The following is a 19757-nucleotide window of genomic DNA, read 5'->3' as shown; positions in this document are numbered from 1 at the left end:
GTATTGCCCCCTACCCTATGCCAAGCTGCTTACCAGGCACTGGGTCACATGTGGGAGGGGCAGTCGTGTGTGCTGTGATTGTGGCATGTCAGGCAGAGGAAGAGGCTGGAACCAGCCTTGTGATTGCGGCATGTCAGGCAGAGAAGAGGCTGGAACCAGCCTGGGGAAATTCTGAAGGGCTCCCAGAGAAGGCAGCACCTGAGTCTGAGAGAACCAGGCAGCAAGAGGTCCCCAGAAGGCCCAGCCCCAGCACGCAGGCCTCTAAGGCAGAATGTGCTCAGGGGAGCAGCCGGGGCTTGTATTCTAAGGAGTTTACCATGAAAGCTGCAGGGAACGTCTGAAGCCCTTCGGCAGGATAGCGGCATGGCCAGACTCTTTTCGTGGAAAGCTCACGCTATCTTAGGGCAAGGGCGGATTTGAGGGGAAGATCACTAGAGCCCTGGAGACCAGGGAGGGGCTGTGGGAATTAACCAGGAAAAGAGGATGGGAGTGTGAACTGAGGCCCTCGCCGGTGGGCAGAGAAAGGAGGAAAGAAGGAAAGTGCCTACTATCACTCTGGGTGAAGAGCTCACAGGACTCACAGATGCAGAAGATGACGGACGAGGCGGAGGCAAGAACACCCAAATTTTTGGCTTGGGTAACTGGGTGGGACTCAGGAGCTTCAACTTCCTAGTTGCCTTTTTATTGTACCAGAAGTATTTCACTTCCCAGCCAGGTAGTAAGTGCCTCGGAGGAAGAGCTTCTTCATAGCCCCTTATGAACCTCCACCTCTGAATCCTTGTGCTAATTGCTTGTCATGGTGCCACCTTTTGGCAGCTCGACACCCATACCCTGAGCTTCAGCGACCCTCAGGAAAGGAAGTGCTTTTCAATGGAACCAGAAGAAAGCACCCATTCCCAGGAAGTTAAGCTCACTACTGGGGACTGCAGTGTCTTAAGGTCATAATTTAATGTCATTGTTTTCCAGATAATAGAGGTTCAATCAAGAATGCCAATTCATTTTCTTTATAAGATTTTTAAAAGAGCTTATTTTCCAGATTTTTCCCATCTCTGCAGTGTTCTGTTGCCTTTTAGAATACCATACCCCTGTTTTTACGAAAATCAAATAAAGCAAGTGCTTGAACCTTACGATCATGGAATTTAAAATAAACAGTGAATTGTAACTACTCTTCATCACAAAGTAGTCCATTCTCACAGCCTCAACAGGAAAATAACAGCACTTCACAGCAGAGATTTTGAAAACACAAAGCGTGGGAAGTTGAATAGTGACCCCCCCAAAGATTTTCACATCCTGATCCCCAGAATCTATTAATTCATTTATGCCAGAGGTTGTAATTTTTTAAATTTTTGCATGAGTGAAAAATCAGACCTTGGCAATGACCTTGAGCAGTAGGATATAAATAACTCCCTCATGCTTAGTGTTCCAATAATGGAACACTAGGCATAAGTGGGTTAACCCATTTTTGGTTAACTATGTAAGTGGGCTAGCTACACAGTGAAAAGGATTTTGCAGATGTGATTAAATTCGGAGTCTTAAAATGGGATTATCTGGTGGGCCCAATGTAATCACAGGGGTCCTTCTTAGAAGGAGACATGAGGATCAAAGGTAGTAAAGTTAGGAGATGTAACAACACAAGCAGAGGCTAGAGTGATGTCCTTTAAAATGGAAGAAGGGGCCAAGAGTCAAGGCACATAGGTGGCCTCTAGAAGCTAAAAAAGAAAAGAAAATGGATTTTCCCCTCAGAACCTCCAGACAGAACCAGGCCTGCTAACACCTTGCCTTTAGTCTAGTGAGACTGATTTTACACTTCAGACCTCCAGAACTGTAAGAGAATAAATTGGTATTGCTTTAACTACTGTGAGGATTAAAAATGTGGCTAGGCTATGGTACCCAATTGTTTAGTCAAGTATCAATCTAGCTGTTGCTGTGAAGGCATTTTGTAAATGTGATTAACATTTACAATCAGTTGACTTTAAGTAAGGCAGATTATCCCAATGATGTGGGTGGGCCACATCCTATCAGGTGAAGGCCTTAAGAGCAAAATCTGATGTTTCTCAAATAAATTCTTGCTCAAGATTGTAACATAAAAATCCTGTCTGAGTTTCCAGATTTCCAGCCTGCCCTACAGATTTCAGACTTGCCAGCCCTTACAGTCCCATCAGCCAGCTCCTTAAAATAAACTTTTTTTTTTCTTTTTTAAGAGACAGGGTCTCACTCCATCTCCCAAGCTACCATGCAGTGGTGTGATCATAACTCACTGCAGCCTTGAACTCCTGGGCTCAGGTGATCTTCCAGCCTCAGCCTCCTAAGTAGCTGGGACTATATGTGCACACTGCCACCTCTAGCTAATTTTTTGTTGTTGTTGTAGAGACAGGGTCTCTCTATGTTATCCAGGCTGAACTCGAACTCCCAGCCTCAAATGATCCTCCTGTCTTGGCCTCCCAAAGTGCTGGGATTACAGGCGTGAGCCACTGCACCTGGCCAAACTTCTTTATGTATACATACAGGTACATATGCATATAGATACATGCACACACACACACACACACACACACACACAAACATACACACACAGAGACTATATTGATTCTGTTCCTCTGGAGAATACTGACTGAAACAGCCATGAAGTACATAGTAATTTGTTATGGCAGCAATAGGAAACTAATAAACATAATAATGGGAAAAGATACCTGGCTTTGCTTGTTTCTGACAATGATGTTCTCCATCCTGCATCTTCATCTGAAAGGTCATATATATTTACCAGTGTAGTCTCTGAGCATCTTGATGGCACTTTGTTATTTTTCTTTGGAACTGAGAGTGCAGGGATTGGGGTATCTTGAGTGAAATTGTTAGCCGTATTTCCAAAGTGATCCAGAAAGTATCTGGTGATGAGTTCAAGGCTTGTTTTTAGAGGATTTTCCTTTGCCTATCATTGGGAGAGAAAAAAAAATCATTAATTTATATACAGCTTCAGGGAAGAGTGGAAAAGACAACTATTCCACTTCTTTGACTAAGTTTATCAACTTCTCACTCATTCATACAAGCTTTCAGCCAACATTTACTGGCCACATATTATATATGTCAGGTACTATGTTGGGTACGGACACAGAGACAAAAACAAAATCTCTACCCTAAAAGAACTAGCATCCAACGCATGAGGCAGGTGATTCAATAAACAACTAGAATAAAATGTGATAGGAATAGAGGCATGCCTAAGCAAATTTCCTCTTCATTTTTTGCTCCAAGGAATAACTTTATAAAATATATATCCCTTCATTTAAAAAACGGAGTCTGTAGGGAACACTAACCCTACAGATTCATAAGTATTTGCAGCCTGAATATTTTTTTAGCTTGTAAGCTCTGCATCTAACACTGACACCAGCGATGATAGAGACAACTGAAGCAGGTCAATGTGAAGAGCACAGAGAGGCAGTCAGGACTGACTCACTTTACACCCCAACCTTAAAAACAAAAGGCAAATGAAAGTCTTCAGTAGTAGGTTTTGGAATTAAACGATACCAGTATTTTCCATCCTTGCCTATATCAAATATTCCCTTTGGATGTTTTTTAAAAATACAGATTCTCTCACCTTACTGACACTTACTACACCACAACAGCAAGGATTTAAATTCCCCTAAGTAATTTGGATAAACACAGCTATGCATGCAGCAATATGCAGGCTGGCCTCAGGGACCCAGCCATGTGTCAGTCCCCAACCCACTCGCCCAGTGACACCCAGTCTTGCCGAGCCGTGGCTGGACATGGGGCACTCTGTGATTTTGCAGACTAGCCAGGCACCTGACAAGGAGTCTGGCAGAGCAGGCCCTCAGGGCATGCCAAGTCCTCCCCCTTCCTACTCCTCTCATCCATGCAGCAGGACTCCAGGACTAAGACCCACAGCCCATGGACTACAACCAAACTCAACAGATTCATCAGACAAAACCCGGGACAGTTTTACTATTCTTTTCAGTAAGAGATTAAAAACAAAAACTATTTTGTCTAAGATTAAATGAAGCTTACAATAAAGAGAGTTAGGGGAAAGATCCTATATTTATTGTAGCCTTCTTGCTTTTTCTCTCAGTAAGAGAGACTTAAGCCCCTGAATTGCCTGACTATCCCTTATGCTTTTTCACATCACTTGGCTCACAACAGACACAGCCTTTATATGAATCTAGATATTGTTTTTCAAAATCTCAATTTACATAGGCATTTTTATCTATCCTATACCTAAGAGGTTAGAACAAGTTACTAGAAATATTAACATTAAATTGCAGGGCTTTCCTGGAATCAGGCGAGCTTTGTGCTGAATGAATGTCAAAATTATTATGTAGTAGATATTAATGAGTAATTTTCCTGTAAAATATACACTCCGATTCATTGTATAACAGCTAATAACTGCTGTATAAATCAGGGCACTTATCAGTATCTCATGAAAATATCTTAAGTATCTTAAGATAACAACTACTTTAGGGAGACTATATTACAATGAGGGAATAAAAATAGCTTGAATGTCAAAGACACTTTTGGGAAATTAGGTAAGGTACATTTACGTTAAAAGCCCAATGTAACCAGAATGGTTAACTGAATTTTCTGGGTAGTTGTCTCACTCTCTGCGCAAAATTCTCCTAAAGTGTACAGTCCACTCTCCTGCCTTAGAATACAGCAGACGGAGGATTGCAGAGCATCTGCTGCCTGGGTCACCAGTCTTTCCACAGGACTTAGAAAGTACTTGCTACAGGACAGGAGACAGAGGTGCCTGCATGTCACCCCAGGACCCAGAGGACAAAGGCCTTCTATTTGATGTCTTCACTGAGCCTCTGATAGACTTCACGGGGCTGCCATTGCCTACTTCTCCTCAAAGGGGAGCAAGAGAATTTCTGGCAACCTGAGTGCTCCTGTAGGTGCCAGTTGTTTTTAGTTTATATGTTTGCCTGAAATTCCATCCTTTACTTTATTGAGAGATGCCTGGCATAGGTTCCTCCCTGGCCTATGACATGTACTTGCGTAGTTTTCAAGTGGTTCAGTGGATCTTCTGGGTGTCTTAAAAAATAGCCTTGGTCCTACCACCATACGAATCCAATCTGCTGAAGTCTCATTTGAAAAAAGGATTACAGTTAAAATATGCTTGATCATCACTCCTACAATAGAATTGGGAATCAAAACACCTGGTTCTAGCCTCATCCCTACCTGGTAACCGACTGTGAGACCTTGGATAGCCAACTCTCTCTGGCTCACAGCTCCCCCTCCTGAGAGAAGGGAATTGATCAGTGGTTTAAAGCTGGACGCTGAGAGGCTAGACGATAAAGCAAGACCTCCTTTTCCCCACTTCAAATAGGGCATTTTCCCTTCTTTGCTTTGCATATTGGACTTCCACATGAGATATCATTTTATTGCTTTTTTAAAAAATTGTGATAAATGCTGAACTATATCATTTTCTTTTTGACTCTGACACTATGCCCAACCACACAGCAACATTTGCTGGACAGCCCATTCTTTTTCTGTCTTCATAACAAATTAAAAATTTAAGTAGAAAGTGTAGTTTCATTCATTCGTATAGTCATTCATTCATTTATTCCACAAATATATTTCACTATGCCATCGGACAACACTTTATGTTTGGGGATAAAATAGTGAACAAAAAAGACTGCATTTCTGGCTTCTGCTGTGTCCAAGGTATTGGCGGGGGGCAGATACTAATTTTAAAATCACATAAATATTCTATTGCCAATGTGATAAACACAAAAACAGGAAAACTAGAGGGTGCCATGAAAGCCTATAATAGCAGGTTGGGGGAGATCAAGTCTGGGGGATCAGAGAAGCCCCCTTCCCGCCCAAGAAAACACAGTTCCATTTGCTTTTCCAACTCTAATGCACCTGGGTTAGCTGAACCCAATTCCCTCCTCTACCTAAATTATATGTCACAGGAGACTCAAGACTAAGGTATTACTCAGAACTGAAGAAGGAAACTCTTACATAAGCAGGGCATGGAAAATTTTAGTATAACTGGATACGATATTCTTAAGTACAGTCTTACTAAAAATAGCCTCATGTTGGGAGGAGGGAGCACAGGGAATAACTGCGGGAGGCTGAGCACTGCCACAGGCTCTGTTCAAAATGAGCCCGACAACCACACACACACAACACGCCAATGGGCGGCACCAGCTGACCGAGATGGAAAACCCACTCCCGCTGGGGATCTGTCCACATTTGGGGGGTCCGTTTCTCTCTGACCGCAAGTGTGACAGGCCAGGAGAACCTCAAGCCTCTCCTGTCACTGGCAGGGCCCATGAGTGCTTTGGCAGTGCCAAACTCAGTTCCAAGACTCCACACCACACCTTAGAAAGCACATACCTTGTTCTCCTTATAGAGAAATTCAAGATGCAAAACCTTTCGAAGATCATTTCTGTTGTTTATGCTGAGGTCAGAGCGTGGGCGTTCCTGGTCCATGGTCACACATGTCTTCTTTAAGCCCTGAGGGAAGAAAGCTGAATCGCTGTTTACCATCTTAAATCAAAACCCGCTGTTCTCATAAAGCACAAGCAAACGATTCCTGATGTTCACCAAGATAATTCTCATATAACCTTTACACTTGACATCACCTTTGCAATAATTAATATTATTCTGATTCTTACAACAGCCCCATGGGCTAAGTGAAGGCTGAAGTTTTCAGGCCATTTCGCAGATAAGGAGTGAGTTCAGGACTCGCGCACAGGAGTCCTGGGTTTGGCCCTACATTTGGAACCATAGTATATGAAGCTTTAAAATTAAACAAAAGAAAAAATGTAAACAAAAGGCTAATATTCATTCCCTTCACTCTCAGATGGGGAAACCAGGAGATGGGGTTGACTTGCCCAATGTAACACAATGGAATCACATCACAGGTGGGGGCTGTAACCATCCCAAACTGTGAGTCCATGACTCTGGGACCCAGGCCCATGAGAAGCTCTTGGTAAATGCTAAGTCATGAGCAAAGCCACTTTCCATCATCCCACCCTGAACTGCCAGAAGACCAAGGTTCAAGGCCCAGCTGAGACATGCTCTAGCAATGGAAAATCTGGGGTTGGCGAAGTGAGGGTCCTGTTCGCAAGTGCCTGGCTTCTCTATTTGAAAAACAACCACAGCAGTTGCTCTCTGCCCACCTCACTGGGCCATGGTGATTGTCAAATGGCTGGAGGCTGAGAACATGCCTCACCAACAGCTCAGCCTGGTGTTAGGGGTGTTCCTTGTTCTTAATGGATTCCAGACCCCCAGTGCTACACAGGCTTCAGCCTCTCCCAGAGCCTTTGTGTTCAGAATTTTACAGAGGCTCTAGCTGCTGGGGAAACATGACAAAACCCATGCCCACCATGAATTTAGCTAAGAAGGTCAATTTGGGAAACTAAAAGAACACAATCTTGAAACAAACAGAGGAAAGAGGAGGCCGTAGGGAAGGGAAATGGAAAGAAATGGATATATGGGTCAGAAAAAAGGTGGATTAGGTGCATCGGGAAGAGTCCATTTGAAGGAGAGGTGGGGTTCAAAACCAACCACCCGCATTTCATCTGGGCTTAACCATGGCTTTCCCTCCAGTCAAAGTGATGTGGAACATGCTATAACGAGGCTCTCTCTGATGGATAATTCTTTATGTCTGTCAACAGTTCAAATCAGCAAGCCCTGTACATTTAACAAACCCCACCCCTACCCTGGCTCTAGAGCGTGATGCACACCAGCATTTGAAAACCACCGGGGGCCTGGGCATGGTGCCATAGGCCTGCAGTCCCTGAACTTTGAGAGGCCGAGGCAGGAGGAATCTTTGAGCTCATGACTTCAAGGCCACAGTGAGCTATGATTACACCACTGCACTCCATCCTGGATGAAAGAGTGAGACCCTATCTCTAAAAAAAAAAAAGAAAAAGAAAAAGAAAGAAAGAAGAAAAGGAAAGAAAAGAAAAGAAATACCATTGGGGTAGAGGACAAGGGTGCCCTTGGGAGTCAGCCAGTCCTCAGTCCCATCCAGCCCATTCAAACTTCATTCGCCCAACAAACACCTGTCATGCACCTCCTATGTGCCAGGCTCTGTTCTAGATGCAGGAGAGACAGAAGGAATAAGAGCTGATGTTCTGTTGGGAAAGCAGACCATAAATGTATAGTGTGGCAGCTGCTAATATGCACTACGAGGGAGACAAAGCAGGGAGAGGGAAGACAAGGATGAAGGCCACTGTTTTAGATGGCCAGCTATTTGTTCAGCATCATCCACATGCTCACTCCTGTCCCAGTTTCCCTATCTGTGAAACGAAGGGAACAGACCACTAGTCCGTAAGTCCAGTTGCTAGAGGCAGAGCAGTGAACAGATGAAAGTCCCAGTCCTCAGGGAGCTTGCACTCTATAGGGGGAGAGACAACAAGTATAGTATGATATGGGGAAAAAACATACAAAGTAGGATAAGGAGACAGAGAGGGCTAGGGTGGGTGTGGGGATGCGCTGCTACTTTATCAAAGGTGGTCAGGAAAGGCATCATTGATTGATGAGGGAATCAAAAGAGCAGGCCACACAGACACTTGGGAGAAAAGTGTTCCAGGCAAGGAACAGCAAGTGCAAAGGCCCTGAGCCAGTTGCAAAAGGCCAGTGCATCTAGAGCTGCATGGCAGGGGAAAGGAGGTAAGGAAGTCAGAAGTCACCCAGAGACTCATAAGGAAAGGTCTTGTGGGCTTTTATGAAATGGGAAGGCTACTATTTTGAACTGACATATTTTTGAAAGATCACTTGGCTGCTAGGTTGAAAATAAACTGTAGGAGGCAGGAGATTAAGGAGAAACCATTTAGGAGGCTATTGAACAATTCACAAATCACATGAAACAAAGGGGTGGCTTGGAGCAAGGTGTTTGCAACAGAAGTGGTAAGAAGTGGCTACATTCTGTATGTGCTCTGATGATAAAGCCAACAGATTTGCTGATGGACTGGATATGAGGTGCACAAGAAAGGAACAAGCCAAGAATAATTCCAAAGTTTTGGGCCCAGGCAACTAGAAGGACAGAGATGCCATTTATTCCAATGGGCACAGTTGTAGGAGGAACAGGAAATCAGAAATTGAGTTTTGGACATTATGATAAATATATATTTGTTCTGTGTCCCAGGTTCCTGGCACATAGATTCTAAAATCCTTGGAATCTCCAAGGTGATAAGAATGTCTTCTGTATGCTAATGTGATGACTAGTGGATGGGGACCCCTAGATAGCTTCAGGATGGGGGCTGGTCACCAGAAAGAGCAAACCTTGATTAGAGGGCTGGAACTTTCAGCCCTACCTCCCAATCTCCCAGAGAGGGAAGAGAAGCTATAGATTGAGCTAACCACCAATGGTCAATGATTTAATCAAACATTCCTATATAGCAGAATTGACACAAAATCTCCTGAATGATGGGGTTCAGGCAGTTCCCAGGTTGGTGCTGGGAGGGCAGCATGCTGAAGACGGCACAGAAGTTCCATGACCCTCCACCCACACCTTGCCCTATGCATCTCTTCCATCTGGCTGTTCCTGAATTGTGTCCTTTATAGTAAACTGGTAAATGTAAGTAAAGTGTTTCTCCGAGTTCTGTGAGCCATTCTAGCACATTATTAAAACTGTGGAGGGGGTTGTGGGAACCCTCAATTTATAGCTAGTTGGTCAGAAGTTCAGGTGGCAACTTGGGACTTCTGACTAGCATCTGAAGTGGGGGCAGTCATGAGCGTGACTTAACCTGCAGGGTCTGCACTAACTCTTGGTAGTGTCAGGACTGATTTGAATTGTACGACACCCAATTGGTGTCTGGAGAGTTGGAGATTTAGTTTGTATGGAGGAAAAATCCCCATACATTTGGTGTCTGAAGTGTGAGCAGAAACACTATCAGAGACATGTTGAGATGCTTGTTAGACATCCCAGTAGATATGTAGAATAGGCAGTTGTAAGAATTCAAGAGTTCAAGGAGAGGTCTCAGCTAGAGATAGACATTTGGGAATTGTCAGCATATAGATGGTATGGGAATCCACAAGACTGGCTGAGATGTCTTGAGAGTGAACGGAAAGAAGAAGAGAAGAGAGCCATAAACTAAGTCCTTGAGCCCACCAGAGTGCACAGGACAGAGAAACTAGGGGGACCAGCGAAGACCCTGAAGGGAGCACCCAGAGGAGTAGGAGGAAAGCTAAGAGGGACAGTCTCCTAGAAGACAAGCAGAAGGACACAATCAACTGTGACAAACATAATCATTAGATCAAGAAGGGCGAGGACTAAAAATTCCAGGTTAATAATGGCCCTAAGAAGAGCTATTTCCATGGAATGATGGGGACAAAAGTCTGATTAAAATGGGTTCGAGAAAGCAGAGAAAAGAATTAAAATGAAAGTAGACACAGGTCCTTTATGGGGTTTCTATAGAAAGGGAGGAAATAATAAACCAGTAGCTAGGGTTTGGGGGTCAAGATGGGATTCTGCAGGAGCACAACATGTGCTGATAGGAGTAACCTAGTAGAGGAGGGAAATGCATGGTGCAGGAGACAGCGACATCCCTGAGCACACAAGAGAGGGCATGCACACATGGAGGGGTGGGCCTAACCAGGGGTATGGAGAATTCATCCACAAGAACACTAAAGAGAGCAGAGTGAATGGTGCAGCCCAGGAAGGTGAGTAAGTGTGGTAGTGGGAGCCTGCTGGACTTCTCTCAAGACTTCTGTTTTCTCAGTGAAATTAGATGGGGAAGGAGCTTCAGGGTTTGAAGAGAGAGAAGGTATGAAATGGTCATCCAGGGTCTCAGAGGGTAAACAGTCTGGAGAGTTGCAACCAGGTGGGCAGGCACCCATAAGGCACCACAAGGGTGAGTGGCCATGGATTTAGAGTGATACCATCAACATAGTGGTGTGTGTTTCTCTCCAATCTCATTCAGCTCTATGGGCGCAAGTGTAGAGCAGGACGAGTGGAATTTTACTGTCAGAAGAGAATGATGAAAGGAGAGAAGCGCAAAAGAGCTGCACCTGTTATGGAGGGTGCAATTATAAGGATGGGTGGGTGAGAGGTAGGTGGGTTATGGTAGGCCCGAGGGACTGTGAAAAGTTGGCAGGAACAATGCAATATAGATGTGGTGAGGCTGGAGAAGAGTTTACGTGGGGCTATGATGGGAAACAAGCTAGAAATTTTGACAGGTGGGAAGCTTGGAATTGAGATTACAGAAAGGGCGCAGTACTGGTAACAACAAGCCCAGCTCATGACCATGGGGCAGGGTGGCAGAGGGAGGATGGCACAGTCACTGCAGGAGTGGAGCCACAGACTCAAGAAGCTGGGGCAGCAGAAGAGTCACCTCAGCAGACCCTGCCATCTCCAGGAGACTATCATGACTCCCCCGAGGGAAGACCACACTTGGTGAGTTCAAGTAGGCCAAAGTGGTTGAAGGGTAGAGGGCGGAGCAAGCAGTCATGGAAGATGAGGTCTGAGGGTAGCCAGAGCCAAGTAATGGAGAGACTTGAAGTCTAATTATGATGGGAAGCCAGTAGAGGGGTTTGAGCAGGGGAATTACATGGTCTGACCTGCTCACCCTGGGCAAGTTTCTTGGCCTCCTGGTCTCACAATAATCTTATGTGAAAGGGAATACTTATACCTATCTTTCAGGACTGTTACGAGGATCTGAGACAACAAACCAGCACCTTCTAGGTACCTGGCACCAAGGTGGCAGCTCTCTTGGTTACGACTGCTGGGTGCAATGACTGCCTGTGCAAAACCCTGTGGGGAGCACGTGGTCTCTGCCCTAGAGCAGAAGGCGATGAGAAAGCAGTATACCTGGGCTGCAGTCCCAGCTCACTGTGACCTTCTGAGTAACTGTGGGCAACTCCTTTCTACTCTTAGGGCCTTAGTGTGCCCAGATAAAACATGCGAGGGAGAGGAGACCAGGGGAACTCGGCCATGTCAAGTGGGGGGTGGTGGGGAGGGATGTGGGAGAGGCTAGAAATGAAATTGAGATGGTAAGCTGGGGTCAAGCTACAGGGCAGGCTTGGATGTCAGTGAGGACACTGGATTTCATTTGTACTCAAGAAAGAACACGAGGAAGCCCTCTCTAAGAGTTTTTTTCAGTGACCCAGACTTAAAAGAAATGATGTTAACAGTCAGCTTTCCAGGGTGTGTCAATTGATATCCAACATGCAGCCAGGACAGGTGATGGCAGGTCAATTAGCCATAAAGACAGGGCAGATGCGACAAAGCCAAACGCATTTAAAATTTTTTCAAATAAAAATAAATCATAAAAAACACACAAAGACACTTTCCAAACAGGTGCACTTCAGAGACACCTGTTTGGTGTCAGAAACAGTGAGGGTGGGAGGAGGTATAAAGTTGAACACCTACGTGCACATTGTATCTATATGTCAGATCCAATGCTTGGAAGCTGCCCATATGTTAATATTAATCCTCATTATAAATCTGCAAAGAGTAGGTCTTACTTTCCTGTTTTACAGATAACGAAATTGAGACAGTGAGTAAAGTACTGAGGTTCACACTGCAAACTAGTAGCAAATATTTGAATTGTCTCCGTCTGACTTCAAAGTCCTTCCCCTTTCCTCCATTCAAAAAATTACGTGTATGTGTTTTCATACAAGACAAGTACCCATCGCCCTAGCCCAGTATGACACTGCAAGGACAGACAAAACACACAGAGTGCAGCCCTCAGTCACCATGTGCTGAATGAGCTAATGTATGTCCCCCTCCACTACCACGCCCAAGACCCCCCGGCGAGCTCCTTCCCCACCGAGGTCCCCATCTCCACCCTGAGGCCAGATGACAGCTAAGGACCTTCCAAGCTTGTGAACACTGCAAAAACTCTCCTGGGACAAGACAATAGGAAAACTTACAAAAATTAAAGCAACCACTGGAATTCCCACTGTTGACTAAAATGACTAAGGGTTTGACCGTCAAGAACTTTTCTGGGCTTTTGGGGTTCCCTCTGGGAGAAGTTCTTTCCGAGTGGGACCCTGACTTGCGTGGGTAGCGCACGGAGGCCGGCAGCCAGGCTAGGGCGCAGGCCTGCCCGCTGTGCGCCCGCGCTAGGATTGCTTGGCGCGGCCCCCAGGCCCCCTCCCCAGCTGCCGCCGCCCCGGAGCGCGGATGCCCCAGGAGGGCAGCGGACGGGGTCCAAACCGTGCCTTGCGGAAGCGCCCGGTGACGACGGCAGAAACGCCTCGTGGGAAATGTAGTTTCCCCTGTCCCGGGAAAGCGGCGCTCTTCTGGGGCATCTCTGGAGCAGGCAGTAGGTAGGGAACGGGCGCCCTCCCAGAAGCTGCAAAGCCTTCAGGGGAGACCCCGATGATCCCCCCAAATTAGAGCCACTTCCTGGGCTTTGGAGGGGGCGAGCCGTTACCTTTCTGCTGAGGAACTCCCTGACCAAGGAGGCGGCCACCTCCTCCACGAAGAGGCTGTCCATGGCTCTGGCTCTGGCTCTGCCCACGAGGCCCACGCCGGGCCGCAGCACCAGGCAACTGGGTCTGTCCGGCGCAGTATGGCCGCGTTGCCGTGGCGACGGCGGCGTCGGCGCGGCAAGAACTCCTCCCCTTCCCTGGGGCTGGCGGGCTGGGGCGGGAGGGAAGGGGTGGAGCGTCCCGCAAACTCGCGTCTCGGAGTGGGAGGCCGCAGTCAGGGCGCCCTGGTGTCGCCTAGGGCCCCGTCCACGGCTCCGGACTCGGGGCCTCACTCTGACCCTGGCCCTGGTCATCTGAGAGGCCTAGGACAAATTACCGCTCCGCTCCGAGGCTCCATTTTCCTAGACATAAAATGGGAAGAATACCTGCCTCCTTGTTTCTGGAGGACTAAACTCACAGGGAAGTGACCCCCTCAGGTCCACCCTCAGCACCACGGCCCCCTCTGGGGCCACCAACGCTACTGACCTTGGCGGGCCTTGACGGTGGGGGCAAGGAAGCCCAGCATTCTGCTTCTTGGGCACCGAAATTAAAGGAGATGTTCCTCGCCCCCTTGGTGCCTGCTTTCCCGTAATGAGACTGCCATTTATTGATCACCAAGCTCTTAACTCACGGTTGCACTTTTAATCCTTACAACTTCCTGGCTAGGTAGTTACTGTTGGCCCCATTCTTTAAAACGGGACACTGAGATTCAGAAAGGCTAAGATTTTGCTGAGGCCCACACAGCTGGGTACTGGGAAAGTTGGGTTTCTAACCAAGCCCAGTACATTTTCCCCGAACTTAGTCACCTGGGTTCCACCTTCACAATCTTTGCCACTTCCGCATGTTACCTATTGTATTCCTTTGCTTGGGCTGCCATACAAAGTACCACAGACCATGTGGCTTAAACAACACATTTATTGTCTCCCAGTTCTGAGGGCTACAGACCAAGATCGAGGTGTCAGCTGGATGGTTTCTCCTGAGGCCTCTCTCCCTGGCCTCTATTATAGATGGCCACCTTCTCCCAGTGTCTTCACGTGGCTAGCCGTCCGTGTGTGCCTGTGTCCTAATCTCTTCTTATAAAGACATCAGTTGTATTGGAATAGGGTCCACCCTAATGACTGCATTTCCACTTCATCACCTCTTTAAAGACCCTATCCAACACAGTCACATTCTGGAATACCAGGCATTAGGACTTCAACACGGGAATTTTTTTTTCTTTTTTTTTTTTTTTTTTTGAGACAGAGTCCCGCTCAGGTGCCCGGGCTGGAATGCAGTGGCGCAATCTCGGCTCACTGCCAAGTGAACAACCACCTCCCGGATTCAAACCATTCTCCTCCCTCAGCCTCCTGAGTAGCTGGGATTTCAGGCGCCCACCACCGTGCCCAGCTAATATTTGTACTTTTAGTAGAGACGGGGTTTCACCATGTTGCCAGACTGGTCTTGAACTCCTGACCTCAGGCAGTCCGCCCACCTCGGCCTCCCAAAGTGCTGGGATTACAGGCGTGAGCCACCGCACCCGGCCCAACACAGGAGTTTTGAAAGACACAATTCAGCCCTTAACCCCTATACAGTTACTTATGTATTATTTTCTTTAAATCCACATACATGTTTTACAATTTATTTTAAAAGGAAAGTGTTCCCAAGCAGTAATAGCCACAAGATCTTGGGTTTTATGTGCTTATTAAATCTCTAATACACATTAAAACAAACACAAAACCAGAAAGGTATGCATTCACCTAAATCACCTTACAACCACCACTGGCACATGTACCACACTTGGGAAGCAACTATCTCACCCTATACAGTCTCCATAGGACGTAGCTTTAATGTGGCAGATTGCACCATAATCTCCAGGCAATTTCCCCTCTCAACGTGCAATGGTTCTTTGAGAAGCCTCTTTTGAACATGTTGTGCTATGTGAGAAAGAGCCATGTGCTCTTATATGTAGAGAGAGAAGGGCAGAGTTGCAGGAGACAGTATGATGCTTGGTCCAGGGGCCCTCATGTTCCAGCTGTGAAGACACACTGATGGATGATGTGTAATAATGAAAGAATAACATGAGACAGATTTATGCTCCATAAGAGATTGTGTATCAGGGGTCCCCAACCCCCTGGGCTGTGGACCGGTATGGGTCTGTGGCCTATTAGGAACCAGGTCACACAGCAGGAGGTGAGTAGCTGCAAAGGAACATTACCACCTGAGCTCCACCTCCTGTCCAATCAGCCACAGCATTAGCTTCTCATAGAATCACAAACCCTATTGTGAACTGCACATGCGAGGGACCTAGGTTGCGCACTCCTTATGAGACTCTAATGCCTGATGATCTGAGGTGGAACGGTTTCATCCCAAAACCATCCCCCACCTCCCATGCAAAAACTGTCTTCCACGAAACTGGTCCCTGGTGCCAAAAATGTTGAGGACTGCTGTTGTGTATCACAGATAGTAGGTGTTATATAGTAGGTCAGAAGAGAGATTTCCCCCGTGGAGGCAGACGAAGGTGAAAAGAGAAAAAATCATTCATTCCTCCATTCATTTACTCCTTTAAAAATATTTGTTGAGCCCTTACCACGTGCCAGGTGTATGGGTGCTGCAGATTTAACACTGTAAAATATATGCCTTCTTGAAGAGAGAATGGGGAAAGATGCAAATGGGGAGATGGACAGAAAAAAAAATTTATAAATGCATACAAAACACAGAGCACTGCAGATGATTTAAAGGGTATCATAGATATATGTGTGTATGTATTTTAGAGGCAGCATCTCATTCTGTCACCTAAACGGGGTTCAGTGGCACAATCATAGCTCACTGTAAGCTCAAATTTTTGAGCTCAAATGATCCTCCTGCCTAACCTCCCAAGGAGCTAGGACTACTGGCATGCACCACCCTACCTAGTTTATTTGTTTATTTATTTATAGAGATAGGGTCTCACTATGTTGCCCAGGCTGGTCTTAAACTCCTGGCCTCAAGCTATCCTCCTGTCTGGAGGATAGCTTGAAGATATGCAGCTTCCCAAAGTGCTGAGATTGCAGGAGTGAGTCACTGCAGCTGACCCCCAAAAATCATAGACTTGAAGAGGGAAAAAAGCATGGAGGGAGTATAGGAGGACTTTTTAAGGCAAGCAGAAATTATAATTTTTAAAAGTTGACTGGATAAGATCACTTCGATGGTAGAACTTCAGCAAGGAAGAGAGGATGTGAGCTATGCAGAGACTTGGAGGGAGAGCACTGCAGGCAGAAGAAACGCAAATGCAGAGGCCCTGCAAGGGCGACCAACCTGAGTGCTTGTGAAATTTTGAGGCCAGAGGGAGCAGAGAGGAGACAGAAACAGGGACCTGGTGGTATAGGGCCATCAGAAGGGCTTGGCTTTTCCTCTGAATGGGGAATCCTTTGGAGAGTTTTGGGCAGAGGAGAGACAGGATCTGACTTAGGTTTTGACAGGATCTCTTTGGCTTTTGTTTTGAGAATCGATTGTAGATTAAGGGCAAGTACAATGGATCCTCAAAAAACATTGCTTCCTTCAACATTGTTTCATTATGACGTTGAAAAGAAAAAAAAATCAGTTCCCAGCTGGGGCTACTGTCTGTGTGGAGTTTGCGTGTCCTCCCCATGTCTGCACGGGTTTCCTCCATCATCCCAAAGATGTGCACGCTGGGTGAATGTGTGTGTCTACATGGTCCCAGTGTGAGTGATTGTGGATGTGGGTGTGGGTGTGAGTGCTTCCTGTGATGGAATGTTGTCCTGTCCAGGGCAGGCCTTTTGCCCTGATCACTCATGATCCTGAACTGGAATAAGCAGGTAAAGATTGGTGATCTTTTTGGGACCAGAAATATGCCAGGAACTCAACTCTTGTTTATAGCAATTAGCCTATGGTAACACTGGTTTTGTTATATGTCATTTCGCTGAAAGCTGCAATTTCCAAAAACCTATGGATGATGCTAAATTAGGACTTACTGTATGGAAGCAGGGAGACTAGCTGGGGGACAACTGCACCAATCAGTGGTCCAGGTAAAACTTAGGCTAGACATGGTTAAGTGCGTGTGTGTGTGTGTGTGTGTGTGTGTGTGTGTGTGTGTGTGTGTATGTGTGTGTGTGTGTGTGTGTCTGTCACTTTCCTGGCCCTGAAACTCTTTTTTCACATTGGAATGAAAGGTTAAGCAAGAGAAGTGCAGGAATGCATTCTTTTTCCAGGCACATAGCTGGCTCCTGGGAATAAAAGAACCTTAACACAGCCTTAAGGTGGCAAGTGAAAGGGGCAATCTGGTCATCATGGAAGGGCAGAGGGTGTGCTACCAGACATCTGGGAAAGACTAGATCACATCATGTGTCCCATTCTTTCCCACCAATCCTCCACAAGGAATCCTCATTTCTCTACACCGTGTTCCCGTGAGCTGGAACATTCTCATAAACCTAAGGGAGCCCTGCTGTCCTGCCTGAACATGAATGGTAATTGAGGTCTTCTTATTAAAAAAACATGCTGGAGATAAAAACAGCAATGCCATCAAAATAAGGACCCAATCATTGTAAATATCTACAATCACTTAAAAAGAAAAGAAAATGCTTTTCCAGGTTTCATAAAATACGGACAAACCCACAAAGCCTGCTAAATAAGCAAGAACTATAAAACACACTTGCCCGGTACCCAGAAAGTAATAATTTCTCTGTGTTACTCATTGACCTAAAGCCAGATTTAGCCAAGATGAGCATGCACCTCATTAGTGATGGGCAATCATTTCATTCACATTCTCAACAATGCAATGGACTACACATGAAATCTTAACAATGGGAATACGAGTGCAAAGGTTAACTCCCAAAAGATGACAGATAGCATAAAATCTTTGTATAAGCTTAAAAACAACTTAAACCAAGAAGTCATAATTTCTGGTAGGAAAATGGAGCTTTGGTAAAGCTTTATAAAACTAAAAGCAAGAAAATGAAGCTACGATTCAGGTCAGCAGTTACCTGGGAATGGGAAGGTCAAGGACATGGCAGATGAGAACAACGCAGGTAATGATAAGTATCCGTCGTGCTCTGGGTGTCATGAGTGTATTTGTTTCTTCAGCATCTTTTATATTATTTCTATTGATTCATTAGTTAATAAAAGATGGCCTCTCAAGGACCAGTGATGGCAGGATGTCGTGAATTGACAAGAGTCGTGTTATTAATTAACTCCATGTCCCTGAGGTAGAAAAGAAAGGGAGGGAGAAAAATTCAATGGACTTTACACTGGAAGGACAATTTAGACGGCCTTGCCTCATAACACATCTGTCACACAGAGAAGAAAGGTAGGTGTGTGTGTGTGTGTGTGTGTGTGTGTGTGTGTGTGTGAGAAATCATATCCATCACCATACAGCTGTGGCTCTGTGCATCTCTGAGTCGACAAGCTCCTGCATTTGTGTGAGTTTACCCACAGGAATTTCTGGACTCCCTGAATTCTGTCTGGTGCCCCGTTTGGTTCTGGCAGCAGGATGCATCCGGTGTGTTGTGAGACTTGGAGCAGGAAGGTGAGGCCTGCTACATGGGGGCCAGATGTTTTGCAAGATTATGAGGATCAAGCATTGCCTCCTCCAGGATGCTCCAGGGAGGTGACTGACCGAATGAATCCCTCCCCAACCAAGGGCTCCTTGAGTGTCTGGAGGGCTTGGATCAGGGGGTTCCAGAGAATAAAAGCATACATGCTTGTCCCCATAACCATGTCCTCCCAGGGACTGGCTGTCAGGGTTTGGGGCTGGGAACAGGGATCTGACCAAATGCAACATGTCTGGACTAGGGGGGTTGGAAGAACATTGTGAAACTCCTTCTAATGATGTGACTCTCAGACCTTCCCAGCTGTCTGGCCACCATCCCCAAAGATCAGGACAGGGGGTCCAGCCCAGGCCACTGTCCTTGGCAATATGAAGAGACAGTTTATTTGCACACTCCCCCCATAGTTCTGTCTTATCCACCACATCCCAATCTCTGCTCCCAGGCTGTATCCACATGGTCGCCAACATGAGACTGGAGATGGAGGGGGAACCCAGGCCCCAGCCAGGCTCCAGTAGGAGGAGATGGGACAGCCACCCCTGCAGTGAGATTGTTGGTCTTTCACTAGGCCTGGCACATCCAAGATCTCCTCGCTGTCAGGAATGATGAGGCTCAGCCATTTGTGCAGGTCTGTGCACGGGGACTGACTGGGGAGAGAAAAGAAGATAGCAGAGGTATCCCATGGGGTTTTGAGAAAATGACCATTTTAATCAAGAAGAATGTATAATTCTCCACCAATGTGATAGTTAATTTCATGTGTCAACTTGGCTAGGTCATGATACCCTGCTCTTTGGTCAAATGCCAGCCTGGATGTTGCTGTGTGTAGACTTTGAGTAAAGCAGCTTATCCTTCATA

General features: G+C 46.2%; 1 protein-coding gene and 1 long non-coding RNA gene across 2 annotated transcripts in view, besides 5 other annotated features; both read right to left on the bottom strand.

Moving 5' to 3' along the window:
- The window catches only part of MINDY4 (MINDY lysine 48 deubiquitinase 4), a 120971-nt gene extending 107485 nt beyond the window's left edge, over positions 1-13486 (bottom strand). The window contains exons 1-3 of the mRNA NM_032222.3: positions 13347-13486; positions 6352-6471; positions 2691-2926 (exon numbers count right to left, since the gene is read on the bottom strand). Of these exons, the coding sequence (NP_115598.2) occupies positions 2691-2926; positions 6352-6471; positions 13347-13409 (419 nt within the window). The 5' untranslated portion in view covers positions 13410-13486. The remainder of the gene's footprint in view (positions 1-2690; positions 2927-6351; positions 6472-13346) is intronic.
- INMT-MINDY4 (INMT-MINDY4 readthrough (NMD candidate)) overlaps positions 1-19757 on the bottom strand; it is a 140253-nt gene that overhangs the window by 107485 nt on the left and 13011 nt on the right. The window contains exons 3-5 of the long non-coding RNA NR_037598.1: positions 18342-18558; positions 6352-6471; positions 2691-2926 (exon numbers count right to left, since the gene is read on the bottom strand). This is a non-coding gene — a long non-coding RNA (INMT-MINDY4 readthrough (NMD candidate)). The remainder of the gene's footprint in view (positions 1-2690; positions 2927-6351; positions 6472-18341; positions 18559-19757) is intronic.
- Positions 393-893: an enhancer, noted in NCBI's record as "H3K27ac hESC enhancer chr7:30823626-30824126 (GRCh37/hg19 assembly coordinates)". NCBI's record gives its function as "activates a minimal SCP1, AML or CMV promoter by ChIP-STARR-seq in naive H9 embryonic stem cells {active_cell/tissue: H9 hESC(naive)}" and the evidence as "EXISTENCE:reporter gene assay evidence [ECO:0000049][PMID:30033119]".
- Positions 12926-13075: a silencer, noted in NCBI's record as "silent region_18073". NCBI's record gives its function as "represses an Ori minimal core promoter by ATAC-STARR-seq in GM12878 lymphoblastoid cells {active_cell/tissue: GM12878}" and the evidence as "EXISTENCE:reporter gene assay evidence [ECO:0000049][PMID:35858748]".
- Positions 13076-13370: an enhancer, noted in NCBI's record as "tiled region #4; HepG2 Activating non-DNase unmatched - State 4:PromP". NCBI's record gives its function as "activates a minimal TATA promoter and a strong SV40 promoter by Sharpr-MPRA in HepG2 cells {active_cell/tissue: HepG2}" and the evidence as "EXISTENCE:reporter gene assay evidence [ECO:0000049][PMID:27701403]".
- Positions 13446-13495: a silencer, noted in NCBI's record as "silent region_18072". NCBI's record gives its function as "represses an Ori minimal core promoter by ATAC-STARR-seq in GM12878 lymphoblastoid cells {active_cell/tissue: GM12878}" and the evidence as "EXISTENCE:reporter gene assay evidence [ECO:0000049][PMID:35858748]".
- Positions 13556-13605: a silencer, noted in NCBI's record as "silent region_18071". NCBI's record gives its function as "represses an Ori minimal core promoter by ATAC-STARR-seq in GM12878 lymphoblastoid cells {active_cell/tissue: GM12878}" and the evidence as "EXISTENCE:reporter gene assay evidence [ECO:0000049][PMID:35858748]".

This window comes from Homo sapiens, chromosome 7 (genome assembly GCF_000001405.40).
Source record: "Homo sapiens chromosome 7, GRCh38.p14 Primary Assembly".
Classification (NCBI taxonomy): Eukaryota; Metazoa; Chordata; class Mammalia; order Primates; family Hominidae; genus Homo; species Homo sapiens.
The sequence above is the reverse complement of the archived record's forward strand: the minus strand, read 5'-3'. Positions and strand labels throughout refer to the sequence as shown.